The following is a 21,267-nucleotide window of genomic DNA, read 5'->3' on the forward strand; positions in this document are numbered from 1 at the left end:
GTTTAATACAAACATTTCTTCTATTTCTTGGGATTTCCTCAAAAAAAGCTGTCAGGTGGCTACAGGCCATACCTGCACTTTACAACGTTCCAGTTCTTCTTTCAGATTAAACTTCTCTTGTTCCCGTTCCTCCAATGCACTGTTTCCTGGCTCTTTTTCCTTCTGGCATAGCATTTCTGTTAGACGTTGATTAAGTTCTTGCAGTTTTTCCTGGTTTTGAGAGTTCTTTTGGCTAAGTTCTGTATTTTCCAAATCCAATTGTTGGTTTTTGATTTTTAATTCTGAAATCTAATTAAAATTAAAATAAGTTTTTCAAACTTGTTACCCTACTTGTGCTAAAAAAAAAAAAAAACAGATTTAGAGACATAATTGTCTTTTCCCTCTTTATATAAAGTTTAAAATATATATATATTTCAAAACAGAAATAATACACACTCATTATTACAAATTCATTCCATTCACAAGTGTATGAAGAAGTGAGACACTCAGTCTGACCCCACTCTACAGGGGAGCCCATTGTCCACAGCTGGATATGTGTCCCTCCAGATCATTTTCTACGCATATACAGAACCCATACACACATACAGATTCTTTTCTTCTCTTTAGCAAAATTTGGAAATTTTATGTTTGGACAGCTTGCTTTTTCTACTTACTTACTTAAAGACTCTTTCCAGGTGGGCACGGTGGCTCACGCCTGTAATCCCAGCACTTTGGGACGCCGAGACAGGCGGATCACCTGAGGTCAGGAGTTCGAGACCAGCCTGAACAATATGATGAAACCCCATCTCTACTAAAAATACAAAAATTAGCCGGGTGTGGTGGCATGTGCCTGTAATCCCAGCTATTTGGGAGGCTGAGACAGGAGAATCGCTTGAACCCAGGGGGCAGAAGTTGCAGTGAGCTGAGATTGCGCCATTGCACTCCAGCCTGGGCAACAAGAGCGAAACTCCGTCTCAAAAGGAAAAAAGACTCTTTCCAAGTCAGTGTGTTCAGCAACCACCACATACTACTTTTTACTGGCTATAGGATATTCCATGTAGTAAGATATTCCATAATGCATTTATCTGTTCCCACGTTGATAGACATAAAGTTTTTAAAATCATTATTTCTTTTAAATGGATCTTTTAGAAAATCCATTTATACATGGTAGTATTTTGTATTTAGAATTATTTTTTAGAAGTAGGATTGCTGGGTTAGAAGATCTGTATATAGATATATATTCATTATTGTTTCAACAGATATCTCTAATATGTCTTCCTCACAGTGCTACCACCTTATAATCCTAACAACAATGCATGGGCACAGTCATTTCCTCACATCCTTTTAAATACTAGATATCAATCTTTACTTCTTGCTAATTCAATAGGTTAAAAAAAAGACGCTTATTGAATTTGCACTTCTCTAATCACTAATAAGGCTAACCATCTTTTGTATTCTTTTTTTTTTCTGTGACTTGACCATTCATATAGATTGCCTATATTTCAACTGGATTTTCCCATTTATTTGTAAGAGTCCAAAATACATTTTGGATGTTAACACCTTGTCTATTTCAAGTGCTGAAAATACTCTTTCCCAATATGTCCTTGTCTTTTGACTGCTTCAGACAGATTCTTAAATGGCCTTCCCTTTTTATAACTGCATGTTGTAAGATTATACAAATTGAGCACTGAATGGCACCAGCTATCTGAATAAAATGTAATTCTGTGAAATGATATGCTGATTAGCTGGCATTCTGTATATGTGAAATTCTGCCCTTAACTTTCTGCTTTCAATCATGGTGAGGAAAAAGGAAGGGCTAACATTAACTGAAACTGCACAAGGGCTACAGCTAATATTTCGTAGGTATGGTTTTAGAGGTATCACCTCCTCAATTCTGCTGATGATAAAGCTTTATCAAGCACTTAGGGCCTAGAATAATATATACATTATTTAACATAAAACAGGAAGCTAGTTTAGAGTCAGTATGAGGTAAGTTTCCATTTTCAAATTCAGAATTTACAACCTTACCATCATTAGCTATATGCTATTCATTACCGTGTGCTGTAAATTTATAAATTTCAAAAAATGGGAAAATTTTGGAATCAAAAAACATTGAGAAATATTAAGTATTTCCTTACCTGTTTCTTTAAATTTTCAACCATCTTCTGAACTGCAGCATTTTCTTGTTTTACAGTTTCCGTTTTTTGCCTAAAAGGAATGATGAAAATAAAATTTAATGGTTAGGCTTTAAAAGCTGAAGTAAAAGAATTTTAGTCTTTGCAAAAATGTCTTAGGAAAATGTAAGTATACGTCTTACCACATTTCTTCCTGAGATCCATTTAATGTCCCTAATTTCAGGTTAGAAATGCTATCTTCTTCATTTAAAGTAGTAATTTCATTTCTCAAAATAGAATTTTCCTGTTGAAGCTTTTCAGATTCATATCTGAAGCACAGAGATTGAAAAAAATTGTTACAAGGCAGTCATCTGGCATCTTTGGAAAATATTTTCTAGTAACTTCCAAAAGGATGAGTATTCAATGCCAGTTAAAAAGAAAAGTCTAAATTAGTAGTCTCTTAGTATTTGGAAATCGAGTTATGACATATTGACACATTTCTTTTGGGAAGTAAGAATTTCACTAAAAGATGTTAGAGAAGTGTAGCTAAAAAACCCTTAAGCCTGGAGAAATGAATCAAGACTCAATGCTCATTCTGGTTGTTGATTTTTCTCAATGGCAAGCATACTGCTTTGAGCAAATGTCTTCATTTATCTCAGTCTCAAGTCCTACCTGTTCTGAATACACATAAGCCATGTTACAAAGCTATATTAGCTTAGTTTTAGGCCCCTGGGTACCTAGGGAAAGAAAATTCTCTATTGAAATCAAAGGGCCACAATGAAATATGTACACTGTTTACTTTGTGATTTTATTCATCTCATTATATTCTGATTTTTAGGACTAAAAATGGTCTGAAGAAGAGGAAAAACTACATTCAGAATTAAATTATTTCAGAGACATTTCAGACGTCCTGTAATAGTTTACAAGTTTTTTTTTTTTTTGAAAAACCAAATTTGCTAGAAGACTATGCAATTATATTTTACAATGTCAAGTGGGCAGTGGTTCAAATTAATTCTACTTGTATCTCTGCTTTTCAAGCATATTTATTAGAATCTGGAGGCTCCTCAAATTATATGTTCTAAGATAAATTTCCACTGTTTGTTTTGTCTCTTTTTTTTTTTTTTTTTTTTTTTTTTTTTTAAAAGAGACAGGGTCTCACTCTGTCACCCAGTCTGGAGTACAATGGCATGATCATGGCTCACTGCAGCTTTGACCTCTCAAGCTCAAGCAACCCTCCCACCTCGGCCTCCCAAGTAGCTGGGACCACAGGTGTGCACCACCACGCCCAGCAAACATTTTTTTATTTTTCTGTAGAGGCAGTCTTGCTATGTTCCCTAGGCTTGCCTGGAAACTCCTGGCCTCAAGAAATCCTCTTGCCTTGGCCTCCCAAACAGTTGAGATTGCAGGCATTTAAGCCATGGTGCCTGACCATTTGCACTGTTTATGGGTTATCAGCATGTGCTTCAAGTGATATGAGTACAAAACTATAAAGACAGAACATTTTTTCTATATTAGCATAAGAAGTGAGTTCTTATCTACTAAGTTAATAATACACAAAAAATCATTCATTTGTATATAACATGTTTCCTCAAAATGAGGAAAGTAACACTTAGCAAAATAAAAAAAAAAAATCCCCTATCCATCTAAATGAAATAAGTGCTAGAAAAAAGTTAAAGAGGTACATTGAGGATGCACATGGTTAAACAGCAAACACTCGCCATTGTGAACTTTCACACCCCATATGAACACTTGTTTGCTACAGCGGAAGGGAATGCCTCCTAAACAAGGTTATTTTATTTGTTAATACGGCACAGAAGCAGAAGGAAGTCTAGAGAGTACTGCTCTCTTCGTGAAGACTACTAGGTTAGTTTCTCTAGGCACGGCAAGCAGTGGAAGTTAGATCTGGTGAGGTGCTCTGTGGGATTCGTGACGTCTAGAAGGTACATACATTACCTCAGAAGTTCAACTTTTTGCTGCATCTCACTGCACGTGATCTGCAAGTCATGCATCATTGCCTTCAGCTCTTCCTCCTTTTCTCCGTGAGAAAGTACATCTTTTTGCTTAACTAAAATAGTGACTCTCTCCTTCAACTTCCTAGTCAGCTCCTGTAACTTTGTTTTCTCCAGTTCTAACTCTGCTATGGTGGCCTGATGCTGAAAATGTTTGTCTTGAAAGCCTAGGAGAGTAGTGTTTTCCTCCAGTATAACTTGATTCTGTACTCTTGGCCTTTCTTGATGTGTCTGAATTGTTCCATGTAACCAGGCAATTTCATGTGCTTTTACTTTTTCCAAGAGCTGTGTGTTCCCCTCAAGGTACTGGTTTTCTTGCTTACATTCCTCTATGACATGATGTACACTCCTAACCCTGGGCACACACTCTTCCAGTGTCTGATTGAGCTGGAGTATATTTCCATCAGGTTCGATTTCCAGGTTCTCTAAACTGGCTTCCCATAAGCAGCAGTCACACCGCTGGACCACGCTTTCCTGAAGCTTCTCAATCTTGCCTTGAAGTCTCAAAACCAGAACATTCAGCCCCTCATTTTCTATTTTGACCTCATCGTAACTCTTTTCCAGGCTGAGGAATGTTTCAGTGACTTCCTCCATTTTCTTCAGCTCATCCTGCAACCTGAAAACCTCTGCAGTGAGTTCTTTGTTATTTTCTAGTGCCTCATCGTAGCGTGTCTCCATCATTCTCAGCTCTTCCTGAAGGCAGTCATTTTCTCGGCTCACATCTTCATACAACAGCTTATATTTGGGAGAAGCCTCAGGGATTCTCTCAAGCATCTTCAGTTTCTTTTTTAGCACAGAAACATCAAAAAGTAGGTCCTGTTTCTTTTCAGAAGCTCGATCACAGTCCGCACATAACATCATTAGCTGTTCCTGAAGCTGACTAATCTGATTCTTCAGCTCCCAGGATTCAGTCCTGGTCTCTTCACTGTTTTCAAGCTCAGAAAAACCCTCTACTGAAGCTTCAGACTCCTCTATTTTGACTTCCTGTCTCTGAACAGAGCTCGTCCCTGTACTTCCCAGGTCCCGGACCTCATCATCTTCCAGGTCACTTAGGACATGCCGCCTGGTCACACCTTCTACTTGCTTCGTTCGGTTTTGCTGTAAAAACTGCTCTGTTTGTTCCGCAGTATTTCCAAAAAACTCAGTAGCTGGCTCATCCAAACAAGAAGACATTACTAACCCTGGCTCTAACTTTTGTAGCCTCTGTTGCAATCTAGAAATTTCAGTAGCCATTTTCACATTTTCCTTCACTGCCTGTTCATGAGCTCTCTGCAGGCTTAAGAGGACGTCCCCATTTTCTTCCAACAGCTGCTCCCCTTGCTGAAGCAGGGACAGGGCTCCATCTCCTTCCACCTCCTCCTCTCCTATCACCTGGCAACCACTCTGAAGCATTGAGAGAGGAGATGTTGCCTGCTGCATTTCCTTTATTTTACTCTGAAGTCTGGAGATTTCTGTGCTCATCTCGGCTCTTTCTCGATCTGCTGTCTCACAGGTCGCTTTGTGAATGTTCTCCATGGCTAGAAGCTTGGACATCATTTCCTGCCTTTCCTGGTCATGTTCCATTTCTAGTCTTTCCAGCCGCTGGCTGGCCAGCTGCTCCGAAGCCCCTGCCTGGCACAGGACCTCCTCACGCTCCCTCAGTTCCCTTTTGTGACTGCTCTTCAGCTCAAGTATCTGGTCAGACAGCAGGCTTTGCTGGGTTTCAGATACATTTCTTAGGTCTTCCAGGTCTTGGAGTAGCTGCTGTCTCTCGACGACCATGCTGTTCAAATGTTCTTTGTATGTTTTCTCCAGCATCTCTCTCTCCTGGGTCAGGACCAGAGAAGTTGTTTTCTCTCTCTTAAGAGTCTCTTTCAGCAGCTCCTGGGCTTCCGCACACTCCTGGGTGAGCTCGTCCTTCTCAAATTCCCACTGGGATTTCTCCTCACGCTGCTGTTCCTGGAGGTCCTTCAGCTCTTGGCGGTAGCGCCCCTCCAGGCTTTGCAGAGCGCTTTCACACCTCTCAGTGACTTTCTGACAATCAGACTGAAACTGGGCTTCTATTTGAGAGGTTCTTCTATTACACTCTGTTTCCATTTTTTCCCTAAATATAGTCAACATACAGCATTATTGAAACTGCCGCCAACTCCAGAAGCAAACAAAAACCATTTTCCCATGCACTGAGAAAGCTGCTGAGCAAACAACTGAAATACTCCCTAAAAATGCTCTTAACTTACTCCTATGTGATTCATTTATACTGGAAAGGGATCTCATTTCTGAAAGCTAAGACTGGCAGCCATAATTCATTTAAAAGACTTACCTCTCTCTGGAGTTAGGGGGAAATCTTAGAAACTAATTTCTCTGGCACACTCCCGGATGTATTTGTTTATGGATTTTTAAACCAAAGACAAATGACCAAATGTATATTAATCTAATTCCTCACTTGGGAAATATATACCATTCCTTCATTTTAATTAAGCATGCGTTATAGGATATCAGTCACATAAATGACACATATGAACAAATTCATTCTGCTTTTGCTTCTTACTTAACGAAGTAGCACCAAGTCAATCAGCGTGTGACGAAACAAAGCCCTCAAATAAACCTGGGATTTCACATGAGGAATGTAAGCATGGAGTGCTGTTTCTTAACTCTGGGAGGAAATGTAACCTTGCCTGGAATCCAGTTTATTAATAGCTTTTCTCAGAAAGCAACAGGATTGAACTAGGAAGGAACCACTTTTGGGATAATCTTATCCTCCTCTTGAGCCTTATAAGGTAGAATAAATCTTAATACGAGGAATACTTTCCTCTTTTACAAACATAACAAAATAAAAACAGTTCCAATCATCCCAAGGTAGGTTCACATCAAAATAATGGCAAAAACAGTAAAAAAATATTTAAAAGAGTCTACTCAATCAATGGGCTATTATGCCTTCTGACTTCTTCAAGTCTCTTAAGCGACTGGCACTTTTTTTTTTTTTTTGAGACGGAGTCTCGCTCTGTCGCCCAGGCTGGAGTGCAGTAGCGCGATCTCGGCTCACTGCAAGCTCCGCCTCCCGGGTTCACGCCATTCTCCTGCCTCAGCCTCCAGAGTAGCTGGGACTACAGGCGCCCGCCACCACGCCCGGCTAATTTTTTGTATTTTTAGTAGAGACGGGGTTTCACCATGTTAGCCAGGTCTCGATCTCCTGACCTCGTGATCCGCCCACCTCGGCCTCCCAGAGTGCTGGGATTACAGGCGTGAGCCACCGCGCCCAGCCACAACTGGCACTTCTAATGCCCCGAGGGATGGTGCCCCAGGTAGCTTCATTTCCCTTCACTTTCTTACCTTCCCTCCTGAAGCTCCCTTTGGTGCTTTTCCAAGAGCTCTTTTCTTAACTCCTCTTTCTCAAGAGTGTGTTTCTCCACCAGGCTTGTCAGCTGCTCCTGGTGAAACTGCTCTAGTTCCTGAGTCAAGCCTCTCACCTTCTCTTCTGTCCAGGCGCTACTCTGAAGGCCTTCCCTCTCCCGCTCAAAGCTTGCTTGAGCCTGTGTCAGTCTAGCCTTGAGCTCCATCTCATGTTGCAGCCTCAGCTTCTCCTGCAGGTGAGTCTTTTCCTCCTCAAGCTTCACTTGCAGTTGTTTTTTCTCCTCCTCATGCCTGCAAGTGGCCTCATGATGTGCCTCCTTGAGCACTGCTGCTTGCCCCTGAAGTTCAGCAATTTCATTTTTAAGGTCACTTATTTGTTTTTCTAAGGTGTGCGTTTCGTTCTCATGCCTTTGCTTCATGTTCTCCTGTGCCTTCTTGCAGCTGACCACGGTTTCGTCCAGCTGCTTTTCATAATGGCGCACCTGAAGGCACAGAGTGACACCACCACAAGATTACTCAGCTCAAGGTCACTGAAAGTGAAGTGATGGAGCAGCAATTGCTTTTTTTTTTTTTTTTTTTTTCCCTACAAGACATTTCTCATTTCTCTATCTTGTTTTAAAGTAACTGAATTCAACACTTTAAGCAAGATACTTAAGTCAGGCATGGTTTACATATCTCTTTTAAGTGGCTGAATTTTATTAGTGTCTGAACAACCTTATTAAGAACTGAGCAGCCATTACACATAGCTACCCTCTGTCTTCCCATGCATCCTTTCCAACTGTAAACTTGAGTCTTGGAACATATATATTTTTTGAGACAGGTTCTCACTCTGTCACCCAAGCTGAAGTGCAGTGGCGTAATTATGGCTCACTGAAATCTCCATCTCCTGGGCTCAAGCAATCCTCCCACCTCAGCCTCCTGAGTAGTTGGGACTAAAGGCACACACCACCGTGCCCTAATTTTTTTTTCTTGGTAGAGACGGGGTCTCACCATGTTGCCCAGACTGGTCTTGAACTCCTAGGCTCAAGTGGTCTGCCCACCTCGACCTCCCAAAATGTTGAGATTACAGGCATGAGCCACTGTACCCTGCTGGGTCTTAAAATACTTAATTAAATTCAAATATTAATTGAACACCTATCAGGTACTTGCAGGCCTCGGAATACAACGCTGGGTAAGATATGGTCCCTGCTATCCAGGAGAAACCAGTCTAGACATGGATATGACAACTATAAGTACAGTAGGAGGCAGAAAATAAAAGGTATACAAAAAAGAGCTACAATGTAACCCAGGGACTCAAAGGAGGGAAAAAAATCACATTTTAGTTGGAGAAATTCAAGAATGGCTTCATGCAAGAGGCAGCATTAAATATAAATCCTGAAGGGTAAGTAGACTTTCGAGAGGCAGAAAGAAACTAATATCAGCATAGTTTGTAACAGCACAAGCAAAAGAGGACAGAGTGTGATGGACAACTAGGAACTACCCAATTTAGCTGGAGGATAAGGTAACTCATAAGAACGGTCAGTTGAAGTCTGGACTGGAAACGTCAGTTGAAGTCTCATGGTGAAGAGTTTAGAGGCCAAGGTTCAGAACTTGTACCTAATTTAGTAGGCAATGAAACATCAAAGGGCTTTTTTTGGTTTCACTGAGATGTTTTTAAAAAAGAAATTGGGAGATAATATAATGGGTTTCAAGCTTCAAGTTCCATGATTGCCAGGGCTGAAGATATTACATTTTGGAGAAACTCTCCAGAAAAAAGGGGCCTTGCTGTCAGCCTACAAAACCATCCTGAGGATGTGGGTTCCCAACATAGAATGTGCTGCTCTATGAGAAAAAAGAATTGGAAATGCCCTACACACATAAGCCTGTCAGAGCCAAAAGAAATTAGAGAAGTGGATTGGTGGGAAGGACTTACTTTATCTTCGAGCTCCAGTCTGAGGCAACATATGTCCCTGTGATGTTGTTCTTTCATCTGTTCAATGACCAGCTCTGCCTCAATGCTCATATTCAATGGATTGCATTCTTCAGAACCGAGCCCTGAAAACACATGGGACTCATTGATCCTGCAGCAGGTTCTTTCAATAACACAGTGTGGCATCTGAGGAGGGACATCCAGTTTAACTAAGGAATGATTTTCAGCCTGAATTACCAGAGATGTGAACTAATAGGAAATAACAGAGGCCAAGAGAAGTCTTTTCTCTTTTCAAGCGTTAGGGCAAACAAGAAGAAATGAAGGTGAACAGATTCTTTCATGTACAGGCAGTGGAAAAAACCTTAATAGAATCCATCTCTTAGAATAGTAGGTGGTGGGGCGGCGGGGGTGGAAATTGTTGCTTATAGGTAGCTACCTCCTAATGCAAATGCTGCAAATTGAGGTAATAGCATGAGGTAGTTTGGTCAAACCAACCAGACTCCTACCCATCCAACAAATACTGAATGACGATGTGGCAGGAAAATGAACGGCCAGCATACTTGCTGCGATGCCCTGAGGAGTTAGCTTCATGGGTCACACTATCAACAACCCATCACTCAGCATTACAGAAGACTGCCTATTTCCTATGAATTTCCTAGAGTGTGGGTAGATCCCCATTTTATCTTATCAGCTATTATTGGCTAAAATTATCATATTTTAGCTATTATCAGCATAATTTTAGCATATTATCAGCTAAAATTTTAAAAAACAGGGCATAGGTTAGGAACCAGGATACAGGCAGTTGTGGGTAGAAATTCTTAACTCATGCATGAGCTCATCTCTGCAACTGCCCACGACGATGACTGAGAATGACACTGAAAATGTGAAGCATAAGTTGGGGGCTGAGCTTGTACACAGAAGAAAAGATTATGACTAATCTCTTAAGGCAGTGGGACCCAAAATAGCTTTGCATGTGGGGATACACAGGCAGATGGAAGAAAGGAACTTTTCTTGGGTATATGTCTAGCAGCTGCAACTGGCAGTCTTGCTTTGGGTCTTCTCTTCATATTTGATGGCATATTCCCAAATGAGAAGTAACACCCAGGGTGTGAGCCACACCACGATGGTACAGCTTCTTGTCCTCATGAGGAACAACCCCAACACTTGGCCATCTATGGAAAAGTCCATAACAGCTGCCGAGATATATCATATTATGAGATCCTCAGACTGGAATGAGCTAAGAATCAGAGGGGAGGTCTTAAGGCCTCTTTGTCTCCTCCTTCCCCAATCTGTTAATTATTCTGCAGTAAGAGGAGGAATAAACAACCTGTGTAAGAACGACACTCCTATCCCCAATAGCACTGGGGAAAGTTATTTATAACAGAATAACTGATTATGAGCTGTCTCTGAAATTTAAACTCAACACCCCCGAGAAAAGAGGTAGGCTATCAGGAGAGAGGAAAGGAGCTCATAGTTAATGCAGGAGGCTCCCAAACTCTGCCTTCCAAACTTGCCACTCAAAATCTTCCTCAAAGGCCAGGAGGCCAGCCCTTATTTATCTTCTTTGTTCTGCTGAGGCAATACAGACATTCAGCACAGCCCGTATAAGAAAACCAGCTATGGATTCTGTAGTATCTGGCTGGCCTGCTCTCCAAAACCATCTTCATATGAGTTACACACTCTCTTCGAAGAGGACAGCAATAGCTCAGTGTCTGAATTCTAACACTCCCAAGGCCTGGATTCCCAGATTTGCAGCCAGTTTTTTGTTTGTTTTGTTAACAAAGCAAATACCCTTGTGGTTTGATTCTTCCATTCCTTTGTTGACGCATATCAAAATCAGATGGAAATGTTCTCATAAAAACTTCAAGGACAAATGAAAAACGAGACCACAAGTGAAACAGCTCAAGAAAAGAGTATGGCCAAATTCTTTTTTTTTTTTTTCTTTTTTCAAGTTGCCAAAGCTTTGCAATTTTATATTGAACCACGTTTCTAAAAACAAGAGTAAAGGCTTTATCTACAGCCTGTCCGAATGTGTTTACCGTGTTCGGGCTCAATGCCACCGCTGTTAGCCTCAACTTCTTCTGACGGTGAGTTCTTCAACGGAAGCCTGAGCACTCTGCCTTGTGCACGATATTCTTCCAGCTCAGACTGGAGTTCATCTACTTGGTCTTGTAGTACCTGGGATTTAAAAACCAACACTGGTCTTAGATGTGACACCAAAAGCATAAGCAACAACAACAACAAAAAAGATAAATTGGATATCATCAAAACAAAATCTTTTGTGCTTCAAAGGACACTATCAAGAAAGTAGAAATGTTTTGCAAATTAAGTATCTGATAAGGGACTTGTAACTAGAATATATAAAGACTATTATAGCTCAATAATAAGACAATTTTAAAAATGGGCAAATGATCTGAATTGATATTTCTCTAATGATGATATACAGATGACTAATACATACATGTAAAAGATATTCAATATCATTACCTATCAGGGAAATACAAATCAAAGCCACAATAAGATACCATTTCACACTTACTAGGGTGGCTAGAATCAAAAAGACATACAATAACGACTGTTGGTGAAGAAGTGGAGCAATTGGAACTATCATACTAGTGGGAATATAAAACAGTGCAACCACTTTGCAAGAAGTTTAGCAGTTCCTAAAACGGTTAAACATAGGGTTACCATACAACCTAGCAATTCTACTCCTAGATATATGCCCATACAAAAACGTGCGCACAAATTTTCATAGCTGCGTTACTCATAATAGCCAAAATCCCCCAAATGTCCCTTAACCGGTGAATTAATAAACAAAATGTGGTATATCTACGCAATGGAATATTATTCAAGAAATGAAGAACTGATACACGCTACAACATGGATGAACTTTAAAAACATTATGTTAAATGAAGGAAGCCGGTCTCAAGGGCTAATATTGTAAGATTCCATTTATATGAAATGTATAGAATATGCAAATCTGTAGAGACACAAAGTACACTAATAATTGCCTAGAGCTAGGGGGCTTGGGAGAGATTATGGCTAAGTGGAGAAGGGGTTTCTTCCTGGGGTGATGAAAATGTTCTAAAATTGAATGCGGTGATGTTTGCACAATTCTGTCAATACAATAAAAGACTGAATTTATACCTTCAATGGGTAAAACATATAGTGTATAAAGCTGTTAAGAAAACAAGTGGATGAGGCTGGGTGGGCAGATCACCTGAGGTCAGGAGTTCAAGACCAGCCTGGCCAACATGGTGAAACCCTGTCTCTACTTAAAAAAAAAAAAAAAAAAAAAAAAAAAAATTAGGCGTTTGGCAGACACCTGCAATCCCAGCTACTCGGGAGGCTGAGGCAGGAGAACTGCTTGAACCCAGGAGGTGGAGGTTGCAGTGAGCTGCGATCACACCACCGTACTCCAGCCTGGGTGACAGAGCTAGATTCCGTCTTAAAAAAAGTAAGAAAGAAAACAAGTGGATGAACTGGGGGAATTTCTGAAGGTAGAGCTGACAGCTTTTACTGATGAATTCATTAAATGTAAAGACATTTAGAAAATACCTCTATTTAATTAGAACCAAGAGCTAAAATTTAATTATAAAAGCAGTAGAAATGTTTTCTTAACCATGTATGTATATTTCCTGAAAAGGAGGGCTGCAAGTAACTTCATAATATGATTGTTTTACTCATCTCTGCACAATTAAACTTTTTATCTAAGTAGCTGGAACTCAGTTATATTTGTCTCATTAAAATAAACACGTGTTTCTGGTTTAAGAAAAAAATTCAAATTCCTAACTTTAGGGGAATTTTTTTAAAATCAAAGATTCTTGTTACTTGTAAAAATGTTTCCATCTCTCCTGGCCGAAATTGGGAATGATTTACTAGCTAAGACTTGAGTGGTTTTCTGTTTCATTTGCATTTTATAAATAAATGGAGTAAAAAATGTATTCAGAAAAAAAAAAACCCACAGGACAAAACCAAATCACGTCAGATTAGATCTGCAATGATCAATCAGGAAAGGCTAATTTTTGAATAATAATGTTAATAGCTAACATTTATGTTTTTTTTTTTTAATTTTATTATACTTTAAGCTTTAGGGTACATGTGCACATTGTGCAGGTTAGTTACATATGTATACATGCGCCATGCTGGTGCGCTGCACCCACTAACTCGTCATCTAGCATCAGGTATATCTCCCGGTGCTATCCCTCTCCCCTCCCCCCACCCCACAACAGTCCCCAGAGTGTAATATTCCCCTTCCTGTGTCCATGTGAATAGCTAACATTTATGTAAGTGCTTACTCTATCCTTGGCTCTGCTCTAAGCACTTTACATATACTCACTGATGGAATTTTTGCTACAACATTTTGTGGTGGGTACTTTTATTTTTACCATTTTATGCATGAGGAATGGAAGTACCCACAGATGAAGTGACTTGCTTAGGGTCACAGAGCTAGGGAACGGGGAAGCTGGGGTCTGAACCCAGGCACTCCTGCACTTACTCAGTTCTCTTTGTCTACCTACCCTGCACTGCCGCTCATATTCATTTCTCATCTGTGTCAGTCTCTCTTCTTGCAGGAAGAACTCAGCACTGCTAGGATCGAGGTCACCAAACTAGAAGGGGAAAAGGGCAAAGCTGTCATTTTTCCCGAGTGCCCTTCTTTGACCCAACACAGCAAAGGCCCAGTTTCTGGTATTCACCCAGTCTCTTGAGTATGATAGGAATGTGACATGTAAGCACGAACAACACCAACTGGGTGATGGGGAGAACGCACTAGAGTGACGTGTTCAATGAACACAGGGATCATTTCTCAGTGCCAGGCAATGTTCTCCTTCATAACCAACTTAGTAAATTATATCCCTACAAAAGTTAGAGCACCATTTAGCTACCCCAGTAATTGCCTAATAAAAATGTTCTGGTGGCATTGCTCCTGTTCTTTTGAGTAAACTACATAAAGTAGGCTGCCTATCAGGAAATGAGATTTGAACAGGTTTACCTTTTCTGCTAACACATTTTCCAAATTTCTCTGAAGTTTGTTTGTCAGATTCTCATATTCTGCCAACTTCTCTGCATTTTCTAGAAGCTCATTTTCCAGACGACTGTTTTCCTGAACAAGTATGGGGAAATTAAATGTGGTACAGATTAAGAAATTAGCAAACTGTGGTACTATTTTATATACAGCATAAATCAGTACCGTAGATTAAAGATGTTTATCTATCTTAAAAGCTGTAGTAGACTACAGGAGGCAAAAGTAAATATAAAAGGTTGATATCTATTTTATAACAACAAAATAAGTTTGCCCTTTTGTTTTTGACCACGTAGAACTGTGCTGTCCAAAACAGGTAGCTGCTAGTAGCCATACTGGGTACTGGGCCCTTGAAGTGTGTCTAGTACAAACTGTAAGTTTAAAATAGACACCAGACTTTGAATAGCCCCAAAATGTAAAATAGCTCAGTAATATTTTTTGTATACTGATAATGTGTCAAAATGATAATGTTTTAGAGATACTGGATTAAACAAGATTATTTGAAATTAGTTTCACCTGTTTCTTTTCACCTTTCAATGTGGCTATTTGCAAACTGAAATTATAATGCAGGCCACGTATGTGTATCTATTGGACAGCATTGCAGTAGAATATGAAAATATTCTCAATACATAATATTGACAAATGAAAGAAAATGATTACAAAATACCTTGTTCAGCTGCCAGCAAAAGAGAACTCAGAAAAAGTATAAAAAGTAGAGTAACTCTAGGCCAGGCATAGTGGCTCACGCCTGTAATCCCAGCACTTTGGGAGGCCAAGGTGGGCGGATCATGAGGTCAGGAGATCGAGACCATCCTGGCGAACACGGTGAAACCCCGTCTCTACTAAAAATACAAAAAATTAGCCAGGTGTGGTGGCGGGCGCCTGTAGTCCCAGCTACTTGGGAGGCTGAGGCGGGAGAATGGTGTGAACCCGGGAGGTGGAGCTTGCAGTGAGCCGAGATGGCGCCACTGCACTCCAGCCTGGGCGACACAGCAAGACTCCATCTCAAAAAAAAAAAAAAAAGTAGAGCAACTCTAAAATCAATTTATTGATATTATGATTTGGTTTATATTTAATTTATAAATTTCTTTTGGTTTAAAGATATAAAAACTGTACATATGAATTGCTCATAATTTGTATATGTTTATATTATAATAACACATCAACTAAAACCCATAAAAGTTTTTTTAAAAGGATCTGTATATATAGTATTTTTAAGAAAGATTTCCAACCACATTTGCCAACACACACACACACACACACACACACACACACACACACACACACACAGACGTGCCATTTGACATTTTTCTTTTCCAGTGTTAAAGGCTGATTGGAAGAACATCATTTTCTAAGAACATTTTGCCAAAAGAATACAGAGCCAGTATATTTTTAGTATATTCTAGTTCACACCCTCATACAGCAATATAAGTAAAAAAAAAATGTACTTAGAGCATTTAAAAAATACTACCTTCCCCTAAAATGCCAATTCTGTAACATTAATCTTTCAAAGTACACCTAAATGTAGAGCCTAGAACAACATAGAGTAATCTCTGTGTATCAGGCAGTGCTGGTGCTCTGGAAATTGACAAATCAGATACTGTTGTTATCTTGGGAGGGAGGCAGATGTGGATACAACTCTATATGACCCAGTAGGAAATGTGCTATCTCTTGGCAAGAAAAAAGTAAATGTAATGGGAATGAAAAAGTAATTTGGCCTGCAGTGTTGGGGAAAGCAGTGAAGGGGCATAAATGTGCTCTGCCCTCTGAGGCACGGGGAGAGCTGGGGTAGGTGCAGTGGGGTGGGGGAGGGCATGGCACTGGGACTTGGTGGCAGCAGCTCAAGTTTGAAAGGTATGAGGACGAGCTCCTTTTCAAGAGCCTTGACTGCTAACACATTGTTTTTGTTGTTTTTTTGCAAAGGGTGGTAACAGCATGATTGTAACGGATATTTAGCTAAGTAACTGGTAGCCATATGGAGGTGGAAGAGATGGAAGAAAGAACTGTTCAGGATACACATTAATTAGCTGAGACATCATGATGAATTCTGAACCTAATCAGAGGCTGGGGAAATGCAGAGGAAGGAGATAAATCTGAGAGTCACTTTGGAGCATCAACATAACTTACAGGCTGATGAGTAATCATGAGGGAAGATGACGAGGAATTTTAGCTTCTGAGACTTACACCTCATGGTGTTGATGTTGATTGGGGAGAAATTCACGAAATGAAACAGTTAGATGGCTAGGGAGTAATAATTACCTCAGTTTTTGATGTGTGGAGTATCAAGAACCTTTTGCGATAGCAATAACAGCAAACATTTCACATGTACTTATTGTTTTCCAGACACTGTATGTGCCTCATCTCATTTAGCCCACACATCAGTGCTATAGGGTAGGTATTATTATGGTGCCCATTTTTAACATTAGGAAACAGGCTGAGGAACCTGATCAAAGTTTTCAGTAAGTGGTGGTACCCAGATCTAAACCAGGCAGCCTGACTCCAGAGCCCTTGCACCTTATTATATGGTGTAAGAGTCCAGCAAAGAGAAGGACCACTTCTTTCACTGAGACACAGGAAAGAGGGGAGGATGTTTGAGAGGCAAGGCACATTTGGAGGCCGAGGTGGGAGGATCACTTGAGGCCAGGGTTTGATACCAGCCTAGGCATCATAATGAGACCCCGTTTCTACCATTTTTTTTTTCTTTTAGATCCAGAGTCTTGCTCTGTCGCCTAGGCTGGAGTCCAGTGGCACAATCTCTGCTCACTGCAACTTCCTCTGCCTCCCAGGTTCAAGCAATTCTCCTGCCTCAGCCTCCTGCGTAGCTGGGATTATAGGCACACACCACCACACCCTGCTAATTTTTTGTATTTTTAGTAGAGACAGGGTTTCACGATGTTGGCCAGGCTGGTCTCGAATTCCTGACCTCAAGTGATATGCCTGCCTCGGCCTCTGAAAGTGCTGGGATTACAAAACACATTTTTTAATTAGCTGAGCATAATAACATGAGCCTATAGTCCCAGCTACTTGGCAGGCCGAGGCTGGAGGATCACTTGGGGCCAGGAGTTTGAGGCTGTGGTAAGTTATAACTGCACCGCTGCGCTCCAGTCTGGGTGACAGAGTGAGACCCCATCTCAAAAAAAAAAAAAAAGAAAAGGCACATTTGGAGGCCGGGAGAAACAGGCATCCATGTAGCAGGAGGCAAGACCATCTGCTGAGAATGAGGGGGGCGGGCAGGCGAGAAGATGGGGATCTGAGGGTGAGGGCCAGGTTTGGAGTAGCAGCGGGAGGAATCAAGGGGTCAGCCAGGTGCCAAACAGCCCTGAAGACCTAGTGAACCCGCAGTGGGAGAGAAGAACAAGAGATGCTAATCAATACTGTGAGCAAAGCAGGAGCCTGGGTAGCCCTGCTGAAATCCAGATTTTAGCAGGGCCCTGCCAAGTCTGGGTGAAGACCCAGCTGGGCAAACTTGGAGGATTTTTGGACTGAACCCTGTGCAAACATGCCCACTTCCAAAGCTGTAGTTTTCCACGTGGTGTTCCCGGCAGGGACGCAGACCACAGAACTAATAAGATGATTACCTTTAAAGAGAGGGCAAGGCGGTCCCGGATATAGTTCTCTTCTGTTTTTGCCTTTTCAATTTCCTGTTCAAGTTCTAAACGCTGCTTGCCTGCCTGCTGCAGGATCTGCTCTCTCTCTTTTCGGAGTTCATTTTTTAAGGCTGCTATTCGCTCCTTGTACTCTTCATCCAGTTTCCTGTAACGAAGAAAAATGGACAAGCTGCCATCACGTCTTTCAGAGGTCCCAGTATCAATCTACCAAAAATGGAAACACAGAGGCACAGAGATGAAAAGCACCTGGATAAAATATCTAGTGTACCCTGCTTTCCCTTAGGGCTTGACCACATCTGAGTCACTCCAGCAAGGTGTGGCCAACAGGCTGACCAGAAGAGTCCCCAGTGCACTGTTCTGCCCCTGCAGCTGCAGGCGCCACTGCCCTGGGCCAGGGTGGTGGGTGAGGAGGAGCCTCACTCTGCTGGCCTCACCTGAGGTTGTACTCATTCCGCCGCTCTATGGCCGCATGGTGATCATCCACCTCCGAGGCCATTAAAGACTTGAGCTTCTCGGCCTTGTCCAGATCTGACCGTAGCTTCTCTTTTTCTCTGACCACCTGATCAACTCGTTCCCTAGGATCAGAAGTACACTGAGTTAATGGGAAACTGTTTCTAAGCAACAAGTAGACCCAGAAAAGCTCTCATCTGGCTTGCATCAATACAGAAGCAAAACCAAGACAACCAAAACCCTCCCAAAGCAAAAAGGCACTCCACCCTTCCCTTCAAAAGCCTACATGTCAATCTAAGTTCTCCTTAATTTTCCTATACTTTAAGGAAGATGTGTGCAGCAGTTGGATAGAAGATGAGCAACATTTGCATACAGAATAGAAGGATGTCCATCCAAGGCATCCGAATGACTTGCTGGACAAGTAGGAAAGGGAATGGGGCAGGCGAACCTTCTGCTCAACTCACAACAAATGCCGGATTTCAGCCTTAAAGCTGGCCAGAGCCGCCTGGTGAATGCTGTTCTTGGTAACCAAAAGTTCATTTTCAAGGGCCAGTGTTAATTCTGTCAAATTGATGTTTCCATCGAGGCTGAAATCCAAGGCCTAGAAATCAGAGCAAGGCGTAAATTCAAAAACAAATCACTCATTCCATCCTCTGAAAGCAGAAAATGTGAAGGCTATACAAACTCTGAGAGCTGACAATGATCTAGCAATTAGACAATTCCATTGCTTTGGTGATTGCTTAGGAACAGCCATCAGTCTAGAACACAGTTAAGTTTTCTCTAAGGAAAGCATAACATGGTTATTTGTGTTAAAAAGAAAAAAAAAAAATTATCTTGGCCAGGTGCAGTGGCTCACGCCCGTAATCCCAGCACTTTGGGAGGCCGAGGCATGCGGATCATTTGAGGTCAGGAGCTCAAGACCATCCTGGCCAACACGGTGAAACCCTGTCTCTACTAAAAATACAAAAATAGCCGGGCATGGTGGTGTGCGCCTGTAGTCCCAGCTACTTGGGAGGCAGAGGCAGGAGAATCTCTTGAACCCCAGGAGGCGGAGGTTGCAGTGAGCCGAGATCACACCGTTATACTCCAGTCCAGGTGATAAAACGAGACTCCGTCTCAAAAAAAAAACAAACAACAAAAAACAAAAAAAAAACACAACAACAACAACAACAACACTATCTGGCCCTGTAAATAAACACAATTGTAAGAGTATTTCTCATGTCAATAATCTGGGGGTTAAAAACACGGAAAGTACTTAACAAAAGGCTCCTGGTTAAAAGGGCTAAAAAAAAAGTTACCTTTTATCTTTGAGACTTTGTGAACAGAAGTACCATTAAGAAGAAAGAAAATCAAATCACAGTTTCCAAAAAATAAAATTGAAAATTTTCAACCCTTCTCCAGTTTGTCATTTTTCTCAATTTTAGCTGCCACACCTTCAGGATCTCCTGGCTGTTCTCAATGCCCTCTTCCTGCCAGGTGTCCAGTATTCTCTCCACAGATGCATGGCCCATCCCATCATCCAGGCAGGAGAAGACCCGAAAGCCAATGGTACTTGTCATTGCTGATGAGGTTGTGGTACGTCGTCCACTCTCATCGAAAGACTGGAAGGAGGAAGAGACTTGAGTAAGCCTAGCTTGATTCCAGGCATTTCAACAAGATATTGGTCAGCCCTGACCACGATGGGTAGAAGGCATGTTTCTCTAATATACAGTGCCAGGAAAAAAGTCATGCAGCCTCTCTGATCTCTGTTCCCAACTGAGTCAAGCCTACGGAGCTTATCAAAACCAACTGTTTTGGTAGAGAGTTCTATGACATAGACGAGATATGTCCCTAATTAACACCAGGTTTCTTCTGACCCAGAGCTGACATGACAAGGCATAATTAGTGGTCTTTCCACTGTAATTTACGGTCATTTCTCAAACCCAACCTTTCCTTCCTAATGGTTAAGTCTTTCTAATTCTTCTTTTGCTTCCCTCTCTTTCCTTAGTATTTTGCTTCAGACAACAGATTAATTTATTAGACATTACTTAAATGGGTTCTAACTTTTATTCACAAAGAAAGCACTTCTGCTTATTTTTTACCTGCATGGAAAGGTGCCTTTTTAGTTGTCTATATGGAGTAGATGCTGATGGTGTAAGAGATTTTCCATTTTTAAACAAACCATAGAAAAAATCTTCTACACTCATTGTACCGTCAGGATCAAGATTATGGAATACTTCCTCGAGCATCTAGAAAAGAGTCATCACATATTTTAAATACTCCATTCAAGTATACAAGGCCCAAAGTATACTTCCGGCCAGTAGTAATCAGTACCATGGTTGGTCCCAGGACTCCAGAAATATAATTATGCCCCTTTATTCTCACTTTACTGGTTTCCCTTTCCAGTAATGATATGCCCTCCTCCTTCCCACAAACTAAATAAAAGTCAATTTCCAACATCTTCATAATCTTATGCAATTTAGCAATTAACTATATTCTCTTTTACTCACACTCCTACAATAGGCAGTCTTTAATGTTGTTACACATTATTCTTACAAATTTTAAAAAATACCTAAATAATATAAAGATACAAGCTTCCCAGTGTCATAACAGTAGAAAGTGGTTGGACATCTGTTACACTTTTATACTGTGGTGACCCTCAGTGATATTTTCTTTATGTTGAATTTTTGAAATTGGTAGGCTAGCACAGCAGAATTTGGTCTGGGACAGATTACAATGATCTGATTACAATTAAGATTTGGAATCTGAAATCCATAACTTGGGGTTTAGAACCTTACTTGTAACAATACTGAGTGTGTTGGCTTTTTGCTTTAATGTTTTAGCACAGGAAAAACAAAGACTTTAT

General features: G+C 40.9%; 1 protein-coding gene across 31 annotated transcripts in view, besides 2 other annotated features; it reads right to left on the reverse strand.

Annotated features, from left to right (window-relative positions):
* Positions 1-21,267, reverse strand: part of NIN (ninein) — a 111,741-nt gene that overhangs the window by 32,683 nt on the left and 57,791 nt on the right. For 9 of the 31 annotated variants that reach the window (XM_047431453.1, XM_047431450.1, XM_047431440.1 and 6 more), the window contains 13 exons: positions 20,504-20,650; positions 19,856-20,023; positions 18,887-19,023; positions 18,407-18,547; positions 17,943-18,117; positions 14,335-14,445; positions 13,862-13,951; positions 11,381-11,519; positions 9,345-9,466; positions 7,412-7,914; positions 2,297-2,422; positions 2,118-2,187; positions 73-288 (listed from right to left, as the gene is read on the reverse strand). In XM_047431453.1, coding sequence (XP_047287409.1) covers positions 73-288; positions 2,118-2,187; positions 2,297-2,422; positions 7,412-7,914; positions 9,345-9,466; positions 11,381-11,519; positions 13,862-13,951; positions 14,335-14,445; positions 17,943-18,117; positions 18,407-18,547; positions 18,887-19,023; positions 19,856-20,023; positions 20,504-20,650 — 2,145 coding nt within the window. Of the gene's footprint in view, positions 1-72; positions 289-2,117; positions 2,188-2,296; positions 2,423-4,046; positions 6,186-7,411; positions 7,915-9,344; positions 9,467-11,380; positions 11,520-13,861; positions 13,952-14,334; positions 14,446-17,942; positions 18,118-18,406; positions 18,548-18,886; positions 19,024-19,855; positions 20,024-20,503; positions 20,651-21,267 lie in introns of all 31 variants that reach the window. The other 22 variants (XM_047431438.1, NM_020921.4, XM_024449622.2 and 19 more) reach the window with 5 other exon arrangements.
* Positions 7,733-7,882: an enhancer, noted in NCBI's record as "active region_8362". NCBI's record gives its function as "activates an Ori minimal core promoter by ATAC-STARR-seq in GM12878 lymphoblastoid cells {active_cell/tissue: GM12878}" and the evidence as "EXISTENCE:reporter gene assay evidence [ECO:0000049][PMID:35858748]".
* Positions 7,933-8,002: an enhancer, noted in NCBI's record as "active region_8363". NCBI's record gives its function as "activates an Ori minimal core promoter by ATAC-STARR-seq in GM12878 lymphoblastoid cells {active_cell/tissue: GM12878}" and the evidence as "EXISTENCE:reporter gene assay evidence [ECO:0000049][PMID:35858748]".

The sequence above is a fragment of the Homo sapiens genome, chromosome 14 (assembly GCF_000001405.40).
Source record: "Homo sapiens chromosome 14, GRCh38.p14 Primary Assembly".
Classification (NCBI taxonomy): domain Eukaryota; kingdom Metazoa; phylum Chordata; class Mammalia; order Primates; family Hominidae; genus Homo; species Homo sapiens.